General features: G+C 38.3%; 2 long non-coding RNA genes across 2 annotated transcripts in view, besides 1 other annotated feature; one reads left to right on the forward strand and one right to left on the reverse strand.

Moving 5' to 3' along the window:
* LINC01312 (long intergenic non-protein coding RNA 1312) overlaps nt 1-4,311 on the forward strand; it is a 32,846-nt gene extending 28,535 nt beyond the window's left edge. The window contains exon 3 of the long non-coding RNA NR_027030.1: nt 1,516-4,311. This is a non-coding gene — a long non-coding RNA (long intergenic non-protein coding RNA 1312). The remainder of the gene's footprint in view (nt 1-1,515) is intronic.
* The window catches only part of TARID (TCF21 antisense RNA inducing promoter demethylation), a 386,755-nt gene that overhangs the window by 347,430 nt on the left and 19,483 nt on the right, over nt 1-19,842 (reverse strand). The window lies entirely within an intron of this gene.
* Nucleotides 4,493-5,231: an enhancer, noted in NCBI's record as "NANOG-H3K4me1 hESC enhancer chr6:134175312-134176050 (GRCh37/hg19 assembly coordinates)". NCBI's record gives its function as "activates a minimal SCP1, AML or CMV promoter by ChIP-STARR-seq in naive H9 embryonic stem cells {active_cell/tissue: H9 hESC(naive)}" and the evidence as "EXISTENCE:reporter gene assay evidence [ECO:0000049][PMID:30033119]".

The raw sequence follows: 19,842 nt of genomic DNA on the forward strand, positions 1-19,842 counted from the left end.
GTGGCATGTGCCTGTAGTCCCAGCTCCCTGAAAGCTGAGGCAGGAGAATCGCTTGAACCGGGGAGGCAGAGGTTGCAGTGAGCTGAGATTACGCCACTGCACTCCAGCCTGGGCGACAGAGTGAGACTCATCTCAAAAAAAATACAAAAAACAAACAAACAAAACAAATGATATATGTTGAGATTTTTGCAAAAGTGTTGCTGATCCTACCAAAGTAAGTTTTCTGAATTATCTGCAATTATTAATGTGTATTAACTATGTAGTAATAACCACTAGCTCTATAATTAACTCTGCGCAATGTAAACCTTAATTCAGTTGGAATTACATTCGTTATTTCAAAGATAGTGAACTGCTGTGTGCTACAGATCATGTTCCATGTAATTTTTGAGTTCCAAAAGGTCTCAGATAGTCTAAGAGGTGCTAGGTGAATCTGTGTAATAAATAACACTTTTATAATATCCTAAAGCAGAGATTTTAATAGCTATAGTTGGAAATCAATAAATATCTGTTGGATGAATGTATAACCCCTTTTTACAGAGAACATGTATAAGTGTTAACAGCCATTCATACAATCCAATATCATACCATGTTATGTCCCTGGAGTTCTACTTTGGAAACATTAATTGTTTTAAAATACATGGTGAGCCAGATTCGTCACCATTGCAAGACAGAATACCAGAAGTATTCTGCTAAACCTCCTAAAAACACACACACACAAACAAAAACAAATAAGCCTGCTGCCATAGAAATTAGATATTCCTTGATAGGATCAAACCAAAAAAAAGGTTAAAGAAGCTATGCTTACCAAATGGAATAGAACACTACCTAAAGTGTAAGATGCATATTCTATGGGAATACAGATGCTCCTTGACTTAAGATGGGAGTTACCTTCCGATGAACCCATTGTAAGCTGAAACTATCATAAGTTGAAAATGCACTTAATACACCTAATATGCCAAATAGCATAATTTAGCCTAGTCTACCTTAAGTGTGCTCAGAACCCTGACATTAGCCTACAGTTGGGCAAAATTATCTAATGCAAAGCGGATTTTATAATAGAGTGTTAAATATCTCATGTAATTTATTGACTACAGTGCACTGTGTAGTATCTGTTGTTTACTGTTGTGATCGTGGCTGCCTGGGAGCTGCAGTTTGCTGCCACTGCCCAGTGTCAGAAGAGGGTATCCTACTGTGCATTGCTAGGCCAGGAAAAGATCAAAACTCGAAATTCAAAGTGTGGTTTCTACTGAATGTATATTGCTTTCACACCATTGTAAAATTGAAAAATTGTTCAGTTAAACCATTGTAAATCGGGAGCCTTCTGCATAGGAATTACAATAGCAAGCATCCAAGAGTTAGGGATTAGCAGAATCAAAAAATAATCATCCAAATTGTACCAGATGGAAAGTCCATAAGCAAACATAGTTAGTTCCTAACACTTGAAAGTAACTTAATTTGGTTAATTATATTAATTTGCCTATCTGCAAACAAAACAAATATTTTTCTGTTTTCTAGATCCCTTGTTTCCAACTGGTTCAAATAAATAGACAACTCTTCATTCCGATGGTACTTCTTAGAGATAAACCACATGCATGTATCAGAGAAAACAACTCTCAGCCTGGTAAATGAACAGGAAAAACTTGGGTTAGAATTCTATTTCTTTCAAGGTAGAGAGCAAATTTTCATAATCTCACATGGACATACAGACCAAGCCATGCATGGCACTATCTACATAATCAAGGCGGAGAACACAAAAACTTGGATATGAATGTTCACAGCAGCATTATTCATAATAGTCAAAAAATGGAAACAACCGAAATGCCCACCAACTGATGCATGAATAAACAAAATGCAGTGCATCCATTCAATGGAATATTATTCAGCCATTAAAAAGGATAAATTACTGATACATGCTACAACATGTATGAACTTCAAAAACATATGCTAAGTGAAAGAAGCCAGCCATCAAGGACCACAAATTGTATTATTCAATTTATATGAAATTCTAAAGTAGGCAAATCTGCAAAGACAAAATAGTTTAGTGGTTGTATAGGGCTGGGGTCAGGAGAGGAGAATAGGAGTGACTGCCAGTGAGCAAGAGGTTTCTGGTGAAAACATGGAGAGGAGGCTTGAATAATTATCTGAGGTTAGATTTGTTATCTGGAGGCACCATTACCTACTTAATTTCCTACACAACTCAAATTCACTAGAAAACTACTGTTGGCTGTACTTTTTTGATAATGTAATTCCTGTATTTCAAAACTGTTTTTAAGGGTTTTCTTAATCTCTCCCTTAAAAAACAAATACTGAGACAGTTACAAAGTAAAATACACTTTTTAAAATTTTACTTTCAAAAGAAGATAATCAAAAGTGATACAATCATCACAATTGGCATTAAATTATTGTTTTGATCTTAATATTTTATTCCCCATTCATTTGCTGTTCCTTTTTGTCTGTTCTAATGCTATAATAACTTACCTCAGCTTTAACAAAATGAAACTTTGTTTTCATGCTTTATTAACCTGAAGCTAATAATTTTACCTTAGGTGTTATCAAAAAGTGACTTATTTTTAGGATGTTAATATCTCAAACAACAGTGTTATGCTCTGCCACCTACCAAACTCTGGAGTGAGAAAATCCAATCAGTTTAACCGACCTTGCACAATTAAACCATCAAATACATTCCATATGCGGGCTTGTTGGCTCGTGCCTGTAATCCCAGCACTTTGGGAGGTCGAGGCAGGTGGATCGCTTGAGCCCAGGACTTCAAGACCAGCCTAGGCAACATGGTGAAACCCTGTCTTTTCTAAAAATACAAAAATTAGCCAACCGTGATAGTGTGCTCCTGGGAAGGCTAAGGTGGGAGAATCCTTGAGGCCAGGAGGTTGAGGCTGCAGTGAGCTGTGATTGCACCACTGCACTTTAGTCTGGGTGACAGAGCAAGACCCTGTCTCAAACAAACAAAAAATCTATAATGGAAAACTTAGAAATCTAATTGGATAATCCTAAGAAACTCCCTCCTGCTCCTAGTTCCTCCCTCAAGTTCTCTAAAAGGTTCAGGAAACAATTATAACACTGACATCTAAATGTAATTTGTAAAGTATTTCTTATGTTCTCCCTGGTATTCTCCTTAAAATCATCCTAGCTTTCCCAGAACCTAGACAATATTGTCTTCTAGTTAAAATTTTCATATGCTGATGTTTTCTGCCATTTCTGTTTGGCAGAAAAGCAAACTGGAAAACTTGATAAACAAGAAAGACCTCAAGTAACAAAAATTATATGTCATTCTTGGCTCAACTAACAGCTCCAAACCTCTGAAATGTGGTAGATCTTTTTCCAAAGGAAGATCTTACTAACTCTCAGTGTAAATCTGTACCTTAACTTTATCACTGTTTAAAACCCATCTCTAAATAACATAGGCCAAGATCTCCAAAATCGATAATGGGGAAACTGCTCAACAGCATTCCAGAAGTTCTTAACCATAAGAGTGATGCTATAGTAGAAAGTAAACCGTGAGGCATCATGCATCTTGACTGAAAATTCCACCCCACACCCACTGAGCTAATCTGGAGCCGCCATAGAAGACAGGGAAGTTGGAAGTAGAGACCTTTGCGTAGGCCATCACCCCTCGCCATCAATCAAAAGGAATTCTGTGAGCTTCTACTGAGAGCCTAGAGCTCTGGTCAGCAGCACAAAGACAGAGCCAGGCAGAAACAACTCCAGAGCCACACCTCCTCTGAAAGACAATTGTCAGGTGAGATTTTCAAATAAAACCACTGGGGATTATCCACTATCTCCCCAAGAAATTCAAATGTTTAGAAATATAAACACAACACATACTTTTTTTCAGTATTTTATAAAGTTCAACAGTTTTGATGATAATCACATGTATGCCAAATGATTTGTAAAGTGTAAAATTTGAAAAAGATCAGATATTAAATAACAAATTGAATGAGAAAATACGACAACAATAAAAAAAAGTTTTATGAATGGACTACCAGTTTTTGCTTTTTTGAAAAGAAATATTACAATAAGGTTATTTGCTCAAATAAAACCTACCTGACACTCTTGCAAATGTTTAGGGAGGGAAAGTGTGTCTCCCTTTATATTTACTGTTTCTCTCTGAAGCCAATTTCATTTTTTTCAACATCCTGGCCATCTGCATTCATATAAAGTGGTTATTTTCATGGATAATTCACCTTATATATGAAATATAAAAGGTATCTGGAATAAATTCATTGCAAAATTGATGTTACCTGTTAAATCTTCCTAGTAGTTTGTTTTCACCAAAATAAAATGAGTGAGATTTACTGCTTTCCTCTGATTTTTTTTCTACTTCAGTAACAGTTTTAGAAGCAAGTGAATAATTATCTTTTACTTTAGATATCTTGAAATTTGCTTGAAGTCATTCTGGACCCCTTTACAAAAGCTACCTGCGGACCAATCCTGGGGCTCATATTAATTTTACAGACGTCGGGCACCCAGGGTTGCCCCGAGTAGGGGAGGGTGGAGTGCGCGATGCCACGTGTAAGTTAGCAATCATCGGCTCTATTAAAACGGTTCCATATCTTCCAGCCCCGCACTCATGATTCACAGTAATGCCTAGTGTTAGCACTCACTAATCGACAATTTGATGGGGAAGGTGAGGAGGAAAACGACCCTGGAAGCAGAGTGCTGGTTTCACACCCGCTGGGTATCTGTTACATGTGAATTTCCTCTGGCGCCAGCAGGTATTTTGAGCAGGCATCTAGAGGGATCCCAGAGGGGAAAGATGGGAGTGCGTAAGATGGAGCTGTAAGCCTGCGGATCAAAGCTTTAAATATCCCAGAGGAAATCGGTAACATCCGGATTGATTGGCCGAAGGGGTTTAAGTGGAATGGGGAAGATAATTCGAATTTCTGAGGTTTAGAGGAGCAGGGGAAGAGGGTGGAAAGGTAGGGAGTAAACAAGATCTCAGAGGAGAGCCCACATTAGACAGGCGCACATTGAAGATGGGAGGCTTTACCCTCGCTTTTAGCCCTGGGAACCCCAGAGGGCAACTCCAGTCAGCAGATAGTGCCAGCGTGCAGGGGATGGGCTGCGACCGCTCCCAGTGACCCCACGAAACCCAGAGGGGAGGCTGAGGCTCTGAGGCCAGCCAGGGGAGCTGACGATCTCGCAGAAGCCGCGGCGAGTCTCCCCCGGAGGTCTAGGAGGCAGAGCCATTAAAGCCAGGCTGCCCGCTGAAACGCACAGTAAAAGTGACTGCGATTTATTTGGATTAGTCAGTATAAAGGTCTGGGGAGACAGCTATTTATTCGATACGGGACCTTGACAAATTGGGCAGTGCAAGAAAGGACAGTCCCTCTGACCTCAGGCGGTGCTGGGGCGGAAGGTAGGAACCTCCCACCTGCTCCTGGCCCCAGGGGGCGCGCATGCCCAGCGGGAGCGCATCTTCACCTGCGGACGTGAGGCTGCAGCGCTGCCGGCCCCAGCCAGCCAGGGTGCCCTCTCCCGGCTTGAGGGGTTCGTATTGCTGCCTCCAGGCCTCCAAGGGAGATTTCCGCTCACTCTCTGGCGGCACCTTCTCCCCAGCTTCTGGGACGGTCACCAAATCTGAGATCCTGCCCGGTTACCCTGCAGGTGACCCAGTACCCCCGAAGGGTCCACCTGGATAAAAGTCGTTTGGTCTGGCAGCATCCGGGTCATATATCTGAGAGGTCGTTTAGAAGTCTTTTTTTTTTAAGCGCTGACAAGTGATTTGAACGTGAAATTTAATTCCACTTAATATGAAATGTAACTAAAATATACTGGTTCTTAACAGCAGACAACCCTTGGTGTCTCAGCGACTCTGCAGTAGATCCGCTCCAAAACCCTGCAAGCCTTGCTCCTACAGCTCTAACGTGAAAAGAACAAACCACTGCCACATTCATTCGTTCTGTATTTCCGAACTTTATTTATTTCTGTTGTTAGTGTATTAGGTGCTACATTAAAATCCTTTAAAAACAGAGACATTTGTATTAAATATCTACGCACAAACATAAATAGGTAAATTTCTAACTGCTATGCAATCAAAAGGAATTATTTTTCCAGAAGTCTATTACTTTTAATGTAATTTATTGCTGCCTCAGCTTTAAGGCCAATGCTGTCTTATCAGAATATGCAGGCTTAGATACCTAAAATACGTAGTTCTGAACAAGAACTCCCCGTTGATAACAAGTAAACCTAATCACTTTGCTTTCAGGATCTGAAACAGTACTTTTTGGACAATATCTAAAAAGCCGTGCATGAAGCAGTGAGGTTAATTTGTTTAATTGTTTGCTTTTATTTTGGTTAAAGACCTAAGACTGGGAGAATAAATTGAATAAAATTCTTTCTTATTCAGTAAAAGGAATCAGATCCCTTGAGTTAGAAAGATGAAAGTTCAATGTGGCCAGAAGATGAGGGTTTTAGCCCTTTTGATGGAGACTATTTGAACCTGAAAATTTTGCGTGGCTATCTATCTTGCTAAAAGTCAGGGTGAGATAAAGTGTAATCTGGCTCTGATTTCTGCTGGAAAGAAAACATTGAAATGACTGCTCATTTATCACTGTGCCCACCCTCCCCCTCCTCCACCTTGGTTTAATTGACAATGTAACACCGAGCTGTTTGTGTCTTCCCTTGACTGTTGGAAATGAAACCAATCCGGTTGAAAGGAGAGTTCTAAATTATCGGGTTTATTATGTAAAGAAATTATAAGAAAAAAAGTAGAGGAAGTAATTGTAAAAACTCTACTGTCTGCGTGAACACTGGAGAACCATCTAAATTTTGTGTTAATTCATCAGGCTTTCCTTCTTGTATGGCTGCTTGGTGAATCTGCATATATAGGTTCCCTGACAAAAGCAGCTATTTAAGAGTTTAGTCAAGATACTATTTGTGGCTCTGTTGTTAAACTGATTGCAAGACTACCTACTTAATGATTATGGAAAGCAAAATGATCAGGCCAGATAGTTATTTTAGCCAAGTAGGCACAGTATTAATTTCTTCTAAATAGATGTCTAAATTCTCAAAAGAAAAAATAACCAATATGCATATATATTAAAATTCAATCTCCATTGTAATCATTTATGTAATATTATAATAATAATAGGATTGTCTTTCAAGTGGTCTAATTGGTCAAAATTTCCTAATATATAACACCCAATATTGACAAGAATTCAACGAAACAGCCACTCCCAGATACTGTTTGAGAATATGTAAATTAGAACAACCTAGGAATGTCCAAAAGTATTAGTAAAAGAGTTTAAAATGCATATACCCTTTAACTTTAGCAATTCTATTTCAGGGAATTTATTTGATAAAAAATAAGGATATACACAAAGATTTTACTTACAGAATATTCACAGTAATAAAAAACTAGGAATAAATATATACAACATAAAAAATTGTTTTGTCATCAATTATGTCATAGAAGAAAATTTTATGACATCCAAAGATATTTATGACGTTAGATGACAAAATGGATTATCATAAAATATAATTCATCTTTTGTGAAAAAATAAAGTCATAAAAAAGATCTGAGAAGATATATAGAGAGGCGGTTTATCACAGGATAATGATGTTCTACTTTTTTGTTCAAAAGTTTTACATGTATATAATTTTAAAATACAAAATGATTATACGATAGAAGTATTTTTCCTTTATCCATGTTGCAATTTAGGTTGTTGGCTTTTTTCTTATTGGTTTGAAAATTTCTTGATAGATTAAGGAAATGAGCTGTCTTTCTATCATATATTTCCAAATGTTTTTCTACTTGAAATGTGTCTTTCTATTTTGTTTATTTTTACATGTATATGTAAAGACATTTATCAATCTATTCTTTCATGGTTTTTAGGTTTTACATTTGCTAAGAAAGCTCCCTCCTCTGCATACACACACACATGATAAAATTACACTTTATAAAACTTTTCTCACTTCTCTTCTAGTACTTTTATAGTCTTAATTTTTTACTTTTAAATCTTCAGTCCATTTAGAAATTATTTGGGTTCAAGCAGTGAAGTAAGGATACAGTTTATTTGTCCTAACACAATTTATGGAATATATTTTTCCATTGATCTAAAATATCAGCTATCCCATAAATTAAATTTTTATTTATATTTGAGTTTCTAGGCTCTTCACATTGGTTGAATAATGTGTCTGTTTACTCAGGTGTCAACACATAATTATTTAAATTAGTATATATATGTTAATTTATGACATCATTCCTCCCTCATTACTTTATTACTTATTCTTTTCTTTAATGTTTCTGGCAATATAAGAACAAGTGTACCTAGCTTTAAAAAATGTACATATATTATGTTTGGGATTGCATTGGATTTATTAATTAGGGAGAATTGGTGTCTTCAAAATATTGAATCTTCTGACCCAAGAGCAACTATGGTTTTATGGCAGAAGTTTTTTTCCCCAAGTTATAAAAATGTTCATCAGTGAGATTTAGATTGTCCAGGAAGAAGTATATTATACTGATTAAGAGCATAGACTCATGTTTATGAGACCTTGAGTAAGCTGCATAAACACTTAGTACCTCCATTTTCTCACAGACAAAATAGAAATAACGATAGCACCTGCCTCAGGGAGTGGTAATAAGAATTAAATGAATTGGCCGGGCGCGGTGGCTCACGCCTGTAATCCCAGCACTTTGGGAGGCCGAGGCGGGTGGATCATGAGGTCAGGAGATCGAGACCATCCTGGCTAACAAGGTGAAACCCCGTCTCTACTAAAAATACAAAAAATTAGCCGGGCGCGGTGGCGGGCGCCTGTAGTCCCAGCTACTCGGGAGGCTGAGGCAGGAGAATGGCGTGAACCCGGGAAGCGGAGCTTGCAGTGAGCCGAGATTGCGCCACTGCAGTCCGCAGTCCGGCCTGGGCGACAGAGCGAGACTCCGTCTCAAAAAAAAAAAAAAAAAAAAAAAAAAGAATTAAATGAATTAAAATAATGTAAAGTTCCATTCAAAGCACTTAAACAATGTTTGGCACTAGCAAATGCTCCAAAAAAAATTCTTCTTTTTATTAGGTCCTGAGCATTGCTTTTTGAGTTTTTTTCTAAATATTGTTTCCTTTGTTTTATTGTTTTATTATTCTTATCCTTTCCATAGCTTTTAATTGATTCTCTTCAGTTATCCAGGTATACAGGTTTATGATCTGAAAACAATAATAAATTGTCCTACGCAGTTTACTAATTCAATTTCTTCCTCTTGTTTACTTGCCTTGGCTAAGACTTCCAGAACCATAATAAATAATAGTAGAGATAATATATCTTTTGTCTTTGACTTCAGTGAGACTGTGTCTAGTGCTTCATCATATGTTTTTGTGATATTATTAACATTTCTATTTAGTTATAAGATTTTATTTTATTTTTATTTACTTTTTTAATTTTTATTTTAGGTTTTGGGGTACATGTAAAGGTTTGTTACATAGATAAACACGTGTCACATGGGTTTCTTGTACATATTATTACATTACCCAGGTATTAAGCTCAGTACCCAGTAGTTATCTTTTCTGTTCCTCTCCCTCCTCCTACCCTCTACCCCCAAGTAGACCCCCATGTCTGTTGTTTCCCTCTTTGCGTTCATAATTTCTTATCATTTAGCTCACACCTATAAGTGAGAATATGTGGTATTTGGTTTTCTGTTCCTGTGTTAGTTTTCTAAGAATGATGACCTCCAGCTCCAGCCATGTTCCTGCAAAAGACATGATCTTGTTATTTTTTATGCCTGTATAATATTCCATGATGCATATGTACCACATTTTCTTTATTCAGTCTGTCATTGATGGGCATTTAGATTAAGTCCATGTCTTTGCTACTGTGAACAGTGCTGCAGTGAACATTCACGTGCATGTGTCTTTATGGTAGAATGCTCTATATTCCTCTGGGTATGTACCCAGTAATGGGATTGCTGGGTTAAATGGTAGTTCTGCTTTTAGCTCTTTGAAGAATCGCCATACTGCTTTCCACAATGGTTGAACTAATTTACACTCCCACCAACAGTGTGTAAGGGTTCCCTTTTTTTTGCAACCTTGCCAGTATCTGTTTCTTTTTTTTTTTAACTTTTTAATAATAGCCATTCTGACTGTTGTGAGATGTTATCTCATTGTGGTTTTGATTTGCATTACTTCAATGATCAATGATATTGAGCTTTTTTAAATATGCTTGTTGGTCAGATGCATGTCTTCTTTCTTTTCTTTTCTTTCTTTCTTTCCTTTTTTTTTTTTTTTTTTTTTTTTTTTTTTTTTTTTTTGAGACAGAGTCTCGCTCTGTTACCAGGCTGGAGTGCAGTGGCACGATCTCGGCTCACTGCAACCTCCACCTCCTGGGTTCAAGTGATTCTCCTGCCTAAGCCTCCCAAGTAGTTGGGACTACAGGCACACGCCACTACACCTGGCTAATTTTTTTATTTGTAGTACAGATGGGGTTTAACTATGTTGACCAGGATGGTCTGGATCTCCTAACCTTGTGATCTGCCCGCCTCGGCCTCCCAAAGTGCTGGGATTACAGTCATGAGCCACCGTGCCCGGCCCATATGTCATCTTTTGAGAAGTGTCTGTTCATGTCTTTTGCCCACTTTTTAATGGGGCTGTTTGTTTTTCTTTTGCAAATTTGTTTAAGTTCCTTATAGATGCTAGATATTAGATATTTGTCAGATGCATAGTTTGCAAATATTTTCTCCCATTCTTTAGGCTACCTGTTTATTCTGTTGATAGTTTCTTTTGCTGTGCAGAAGCTTTTAAGTTTAATTAGATCCCATTTGTCAATTTTTGCTTTTGTTGCAGTTGCTTTTGGTGTCTTTGTCATAAAATCCTTGCCCATTCCTACGTCCAGAATGATACTGCCTAGTTTGTCTTCCAGAGTTGTTATAGTTTTGGGTTTTACATTTAAGTCTTTAATCCATTTGGAGTTAATTTTTGTATATGGTATAAGGATGGGGTCCAGCTTCAATCTTCTGCATATGGATAGCCAGTTATCCGAGCACCATTTATTGAATAGGAACTCTTTTCCTCATTGCTTGTTTTTGTGAGCTTTCTCAAAGATCAGATGGTTATAGATGTGTGGCTTTATTTCTGGCTCTATATTCTATTCCATTGGTCTATGTGCCTGTTTTTGTGCCAGTACGGTGATGTTTTGGTCACTGTAGCCTTGTAGTATAGTTTAAAGTTGGATAACGCGATTCCTCCAGCTCTGTTCTTTTTGCTTAGAATTGCCTTGGCTATTTGGGCTCTTTTTGGTTTCATATAAATTTTAAAATAATTGTTTCTAGTTCTGTGAAGATTGTCATTGGTAGTTTAATAGGAATAGCATTAAATCTGTAATTTGCTTTAGGCAGTACAGCCATTTTAATGATATTGATTATTCTATCCATGAGCATGAGATATTTTTCCATTTGTTTGTATCTTCTCTGATTACTTTGAGCAGTGTTTTGTAATTCTCATTGTAGAGATCTTTCACCTCCCCAGAGAGTTGTATTCCTAGCTATTTGTGTGTGTGTGTGGCAATTACGAATGGGAATGCCTTTCTGATTTGGCTCTCAGTTTGGTTGTGGTTGGTGTATAGGAATGCTAGTGATTTTTGTACATTGACTTTGTATCCTGAAACTTTACTGAAGTTGTTTATTAGCTGAAGGAGCTTTTGGATCGAGACTATGGGGTTTTCTAGATTCAGAATCATGTCGTCTGTAAACAGACAGAGTTTGACTTCCTCTCTTCCTATTTGGATGCCCTTTCTTTCCTTCTCTTGCCTGATTGCTCTGGCTAGGACTTCCAATACTATCTTGAATAGAAGTGATGAGAGAAGGGATCTTTGTCTTGTGCTCGTTTTTAATGGGAATGCTTCCAACTTTTGCCCATTCAGCATAATGTTGGCTGTGAGTTTGTCATAGATGGCTCTTATTATTTTGAGATATGTTCCTTCAATATCTAGTTTATTGAGAGTTTTTAACATGAAGAGATGTTCAATTTTATCAAAAGCCTTTTCTGCATCTATTGAGATAATCATGTGGTTTTTGCCTTTAGTTCTGCTTATGTGATGAATTAGATTTATTGATTTTTATATGTTGAGCCAACCTTGCATCATGAGATGAAGCCTACTTGATTACGGTGGATTAGCTTCTTGATGTGTAGCTGGATTTGGTTTGCAAGTATTTTGTTGAGGATTTTTGCATCAATGTTCATCAAGGATATTTGCCCAAAGTTTTCTTTTTTTGTCATGTCTCTAGTCGGTTTTGGTATCAAGATGATGCTGGCCTCATAGAATGAGTTGGGGAGAAGTCCCTTCTCCTCAGTTTTTTGGAATAGTTTATATAGGAATGGTACCAGTGCTTCATTTTACATCTGGTAGAATTCAGCTGTGAATCCATTAGATCCTGAGCTTTTTTCAGTTGGTAGGCTATTTATTACTCATTCAATTTCGGAGCTCATTATTGGTCTGTTCAGGGAATCAATTTCTTCCTGGCTCAGTCTTAGGAGGGTGTATGTGTCCAGGAAGTTATCCATCTCTTCTAGGTTTTCTTGCTGGTGTGGTTAGAGGTGTTCTTAGTAGTTTCTGATGGTTGTTTTTATTTCTGTGGGGTCAGTAGTAACATTCCCTTCATCATTTCTAATTGTATTTATTTAGATCTTCTCTCTGTTCTCCTTTTTTAGCCTAACTAGTGGCCTACTTATTTTATTATTTTTTTCAAAAACCCAACTCCTGTATTCATTTATCTTTTGAACAGTTTTTCCTGTCTCAATTTCCTTCAGTTCAGCTCTAATTGTTGTTGTTTCTCATCCTCTGCTAGCTTTGGGGTTGATTTTTTCTTGCTTCTCTAATTCTTTCAGTTGTGAAGTTAGGTTATTAATTTGAGATCTTTCTAACTCATTTAGTGCTATGAATTTGCCTCTTAACACTGCCTTAACTGTGTCCCAGAGATCCTGGTATGTTGTATCTTTGTTCTCATTATCTTCAAAGAACTTCTTGATTTCTGCCTTTATTTTATTATTTACCCAAAAGTCATTCAGGAGCATGTTGTTAAGTTTTCATGTAATGTTATGGTATTGAGCAATATTCATTGTGTTGACTTCTATTTTCATTACACTGTGGTACAAGAGTGTGTCTGGTATAATTTCACCTCTTTTACATTTGTTGAAGACTTTTTAATGTCCAATTATGTGGTCAATTTCAGAGTATGTGCCATATGGTGATGAAAAAAATGTATATTCTGTTGTTTTGGGGTGGAGACTTCTGTAAATGTCTATCACATCCATTTGGTTCAACCCTAATGTTAGGTCCTGAACATCTTTGTTAATTTTCTGCCTTATCTGTCTAATACTGTCAGTGGAGTGTGGAAGTCTCCCACGATTACTGTGTGGTAGTCTATGTTGCTTAGAACTTGCTTTATAAGTCTGGGTACTCAATTCATCAAGAAGAACTCATTATCCTGTGTTGGGTGCATATATATTTAGGATAGTTAGGTCTTCTTGATAAATTGAACCCTTTGCCATATGTAATACCCTTCCTTGTCCTTTTTTATCTTTGTTGATTTGAAATCTGTTTTCTCTGAAATTAGAATTGAAGCCCCTGCATTTTCCATTTGCTTAGTAGATTTTTCTCTACCCCTTCATAGAATGTCATTCCCTCAATAGGGTTACTATCCCTTCATTGAGTGTCATTATGTGTGAGATGTGTCTCTTGAAGACAGCATACCATTGGGTCTTGCTTTTTTATCCAGTTTGCCATTCTGTGCCTTTTAAGTGGCTCATTATGCCTGTTTACATTCAAGGTTAGTATTGGTATGTGTGGATTTGATCCTGTCATTGTGCTGTTAGCTGGCTATTATGTTGGCTTGTTTGTATGGTTGCTTTACAGTGACACTGGTCTGTGTGTCTAAGCGTGTTTTTGTATTAGCTGGTAGCAGTCTTTCCTTTTTATATTTAGTGCCTCTTTCAGGCTCTCTTCTAAGGAAGGTCTGGTAGTAATGAAGTCCTTCAACATTTGCTTATCTCAAAAGGATCTTATTTCTCCTTCACTTAGGCAGCTTAGTTTGGCTGGATATTAAATTCTTGGTTGAAGATTTTTTCTTTAAGAATGTTGAATATAGGCTCCTAATTTCTTCTGGCTTGTAGGGTTTCAGCTGAGAGGTCTACTATTAGCCTTATGGGGATCCGTTTGTAGGTGACATGCCCTGTCTCTCTAGCTGCATTTAACATTCTTTCTTTCATTTCAACCTCAGAAAATCTAATGATTATGTGTCTTGGGGATGATCTTCTTGTGTAGAATATTGAAGGAGTTCTCTGTATTTCCTGAATTTGACTGTTGGCCTCTCTAACAAGGTTGGGGAAGTTTTCATGGATTATATCCTGTAATGTATTTTCCAAGTTGTTTGCTTTCTCCCTCTCCCTTTCAGGAATGCCAGTGATTCATAGATTTGCCCTCTTTACCTAATCCCATACTTCTCAGAAGTTTTGTTCATTCTTTTTTATTCTTTTTTCTTTATTTTTGTCTGTCTTATTTCAGAGAACCAGTTTTCAAGTTCTGAGATTCTTTCCTCAAATTGGTTTATTCTGCTGTTAATACTTGTAATTACATTGTGAAATTCTTATATTGTGTTATTCAGTTCTGTCAGAACCATTGGTTTCTTTTTTATACTGGCTATATTGTCCTTCAGCTCCTATATTACTTTATCATGATTCTTGTTTTCCTCAGATTGGGTTTTGCTATCCTCCTGAATCTTGATGATCTTTGTTCCTATCCATATTCTAAATTCTATTTCTGTCATTCCAGCCAGTTCAGCCTGGTTAATAACTCTTTTTGGAGAACTGGTGTAGTTGTTTGGAGGACATATGACACTCTGACCATTTGAGTTACTGGAGTTCTTGCATTGGTTCTTTGTCATCTCTGTGTGTGGGTGTTCCTTTAACTCCAGTGTAGATTAAGTATGGTCAATAGACCTCTTTTTTGGACGTTTTCACTGGACCAAGGCTTTGTGTAGGGTCTCTATTTGAAGCTGACTTCTTGCCTGTAGCTTCAGAGGTATGTTAGTGAGATATTTTTGGTGTTGAAGCCTTGGGGTGTGATCCAGTGGGTGACACTGAGGCATATTGTTCAGTTAGTAGACTCTTGCTCAGTTATGTGGCTCCCCTATGTTTCCTCACAGCTGCAGCCATGCTCTCTCTCAGTTCTCTGAAAGTGTGGACTCCTCTCCCCCTTGAGTGCTGCCTGTAGCTCACAACTTGGCACTCCTGGGCTGCCCACTGTAGCTCTGGGACAATCTCAGTGTTTATGTTCCTTCCCCAGCTTAGAGGCAGCAGAGGAAGAGATCTTAGTAGTGGCTGTGGCCATGGGCCATTTGGTTGTCTCCTGGGGGCTCCACCCCAGAGAGATGCAGGTCAGCAATCACTCAGTGTAGTCAGCAAGATGGAGGGTTTGTGCTGTGAGCCCAAGCCAGGGGTTCCTTGTCTAGTGATGAGCTATGGCGAATGTGTGGGACTTATGGGAAATGGACTGGCCTCCTCTCCTTGGGTTGACTACAGCTTGTTGGAGGTATGGATAAGGCACTTAGGGTCTTTGCTACTTCATTAGTCTGAGGTGGCAAGGGAAGTTCCACTGCAGGGGGAGTGGCCAAGAGGCTTTCAATTTCCCCTGGAGGCTCTGTCCAGATAGTTGCTGAGTTGGTGTTGGCTCAATAGCTCTGGAAGGAGGTGGCTGGAGGCCCAGGACTAAAGGCCCTGTCTGGTAAAGAGTTATGGGAATAGCCACTCATGTAACAGTCTGGCCACTTTTCTGTAGGGCTGCTGTGGTATGCTTGGGGCTCCCTCCAGTCTTTAGCCACCTTGGATTTTCCAGAACCTAGAGGTGTCACCAGTGAAGCCTGCAAAAATGTAAAGATGGCAGCCTGCCCCTCCCTCTGGAAGCTTTGTCCCAGGGAGGTATAGACCTATTGCTGGTCCAAAGACACCTGTAGGAAGTGGCTGGAGACCCTGGATGGGAGGTCCCGCCCAGTGAGGGGGAATGGGATCGGGACCTACTTTAAAAAGTAGTCTGGCCATGTTTTGCTAGAGCATCTATGCTATGCTGGGGGTCCACTTCAGCTCCTGGTCACCTCAGACACTCTGCCTAAACAGCAAAGATGGTGGCCTACCCCTCCCTCTGGATGCACTGCCCCAGGGGAATTCAGGTCTGTGTTGGCTGGAGAGCCTGGGCAGGGGCGGCTGGAGGTCCTGGTTGGGAGGACCAGTCCAGTGAGGAGGAATGGGATTGGGCACCCACTTAAAGCAGCAGTCTGGGCATGTTTTGGTAGAGCGGCTGTGCTGTGCTGGGGGGATCCCTTCTGCCCTGAGTTGGCTCAGACTCTCCAAAGCCTGAAGGCTGGAAGAGCGAAGGCATCAGGGCCAGATACCCTAAACCATCTCTCTGAAGTTCAAAGTTCCACAGATGTCTAGGGCAGGGGTAAAATGTTGCCAGTCTCTTGGCTAAAGTATAATAAGAGTCAGCTTTGCTCCCATTCCCAACAAGTTCCTCATCTCCGTCTGAGGCCAACACAGCCTAGACTTCATTGTCCAGATCACTTTCAGCATTTTGGTCAAAGCCATTCAACAAGTCTCTAGGAAGTTCCAAATTTTCCCACATATTCCTGTCTACTTCTGGGTTCTCTAAACTGTTCCAACCTCTGCCTGTTACCCAGTTCCAAGGTCACTTCTACATTTCCAGGTATCCTTATAGCAGCACTCCACTCTACCACAACCAGTTTTCTATATTAGTCCATTCTCACGCTGCTATGAAGAAATACCTGAGACTGGGTAATTTATAAAGGAAAGAGGTTTAATTGACTCACAGTTCCGTAGGGCTGAGGAGGCCTCAGAAAACTTATAATCATGGCAGAAGAGAAAGCAAATACATCCTTCTTTACATGGTGTCTGGAAGGAGAAGAATGAAAGAAGTGCACAGCAAAGGGGGAGAGCCCTCACAAAACCATCAGATCTTGTGAGAGCTCACTCACTATCATGACAACAGCATGAGGGAACTGCTCCCATGATTCAGTCACCTCCCTTGAGGTCCCTCTCCCCACACATGGGGATTACAATTTGGATTACAATTCAAGATGAGATTTGGGTGGGGACACGGAGCCAGACTGTGATGGTTAATACTGAGTGTCAACTTGATTGGATTGAAGGATACAAAGTATTGATCCTGGGTGTGTCTGTGAGGGTATTGCCAAAGGAGATTAACATTTGAATCAGTGGGCTGGGAAAGGCAGACCCACTGTTAATCAGGGTGGGCCCAATCTAATCAGATGCCAGCATGGCTAGAATATAAACAGGTAGAAAACTGTGAAAAGAGAGACTGGCCTAGCCTCCCAGCCTACATCTTTCTCCCATGCTGGGTGCTTCTTGCCCTTGAACATCGGACTCCAAGTTCTTCAGTTTCGGAACCCAGACTGTCTCTCCTTGCTCCTCAGCCTGCAGACAACCTATTGTGGGACCTTGTGATCCTGTGAGTTAATACTTAATAAACTCATATATATATATATATATATATACACACACACACACACACATATATATACATATATACATATATTTATATTCCATCAGTTCTGTCCCTCTAGAGAACCCTGACTAATACACAGACCATAGCAATGACTATGTGATTTTCCTGACATATGAATATAATGAATATGTTAATAGATAATAGAGTCCCTGATACTAAAACATCATTGTTTTCATACATATAAAAATGTATAAATGTACTTATATATATCATATTAGTCTGTTCATATGCTGCTTCATTCTTTTTATAAATATTTTGGTTAGGATTTTTGCAAAGATTTAGATGAAAATGGACCACAGTTCTTGGATATGGTGGATGGTTGGGTATACGTATGCATAGGTTCAAGTGTGCTAGCATTCTTAACATTTGGTATCAAAAGCATGTCAGACTAATATCCACTGTAACAATTTGGTAGTAAATTTTTGGGGTATTAGATATAAATATCTAAGTATGAATAATTTTAATAAACTAGTAGTAATCTACGTGCCATTTTTAAAAATTTTAATTATACTTCAGTTAAAACAATTTATATTTCAAAATTATGTATCCAACTCTTGAAATTGTTCACTATTGCCACAAGTGGATATATATTAAACTAATAATACCACAGTGGACACTATATCTCATACCCTAAACCATAATGATATATATCTAATCAATAACCCATGTTATTTCTTTAAATAAATAAAAATTTCTGGCAAACAACTCTGTATCAGCCCACTCTCTGTCTCTTTGTTTTTGTCTTTACAACTCCTCTTGCAACTGCTGCTAATCAAAGTGTAGATTCCAGGCAACTTGAGTCTTTGCTCCCAGGTTATAATCCTTAAACTTGACGCAAATAAACTGTCTACTTATAAAAAAAAAATTGTTATCGATGTTATACTCACTTCATGAAAATAATTTGGAAACTTTCTTTTCCCTCTATCCTCTGAAACTGTATAAGTAATAATGGAGTTATCAGCTCCTTAGAAATAGAATCCCATGAAAAAAACATCTAGGCTTGTTGCTTTTTTGATGAGGGGACAGTAGAAAGTCTTGACAGCTTTTCAATTTTTCTAAGGACTGTTAGGGGATTTTTTTTGTCTCTTCTAGTTTAAGTTTTGCTATATCATATTTTTCTCCAAAATGATCTGTGTTTACTCTTTAAGGAGAAATTTCTTCACAGTAATTTAGTAATTAAAGTAATCTCTTTAAATTTTTCTGATTCCCTAATTACCTGTGATAATTCTCCCTTTCTACTTTCTAACTTGTATCATATTTTAACATTTAAGAACAGTAATCGTGCTCAGTTTTCATTTATTGTTCTAAGTAATAGCAGTTTGGTAAAATATTTCATGTAGGTCTTCTTTACAAGATTTTGCCTAACTACTAAAGAACCTAATGAAAACAGCTCTAAGTTACTGAATACCTTTTGTGTGCCAAGCTCTCCAAAGCAGATTTTATATGTATTTTCCCTTTTAATCCTCACAATAGGAACTGTTGGTGTCCCTACTTTCCAGATGGAGAAGTTGAAGCCCGGAGAACTCAAGTAAGTTTTCCAGTGAGGAAGTAGCAAAACAAATAGGTTTCAAACATTGGCAGTCTGACTCCAGGAAAGTCTATACTCTTTATACTGTACTTCCTATCTATCATGTTGGTCTTATAAGTGAATTTTAGTACTAATATTATCGCTCAGAAAATTATCTACAAAAACAAGTTTCATCTTCATAGCAGGTAATAGTAACTTTTCATAATATTAAACCATGAGAAAATGCATTGAAGTCACTACTCATTTCTACATATTTAAAACACTAAATAAATAAGTATATGTGCCACACTCAGTCTATCTCTCACCAAAAACCATTGCTATAGTTTTTGCTATAGTTTTAACGTTTGTGTCTCCCCAAAATTCTTAGTTGAAACCTAATCTCCAATGCAGTAGTATTAAGAGGGGGCTTTTAGGAGGTGGTTAGGTTATGAGGGCTCTGCCTTAATGGATGGGATTTGTGCCTTAATAAAAGTAGCCTGAGGGAGCCTCCTTGCCCCTTCTGCCTCATGAGGACACAGAAGGTGCCATCTATGAGGAAAAGACACCAAATCTGCTGATGCTTTGATCTGGGACTTTCCAACCTCCAGAACTGTCAGCGATAAATTTCTATTGGTTCTAAATTACTCAGGCTAGGGCATTTTGTTATAGTAGCCTGGATGGACTAAGACAGTTTTCAACTTAAATGCAATGGAAAGGAAAGAGTTTAAAACAGAAGACTGGCCTAATTAGAATTGTGTTTCCAAAGATTATTTTGGCTGCATCACAGAGAATAAATAGAG

Source organism: Homo sapiens, chromosome 6 (genome assembly GCF_000001405.40).
Source record: "Homo sapiens chromosome 6, GRCh38.p14 Primary Assembly".
NCBI lineage: Eukaryota > Metazoa > Chordata > Mammalia > Primates > Hominidae > Homo > Homo sapiens.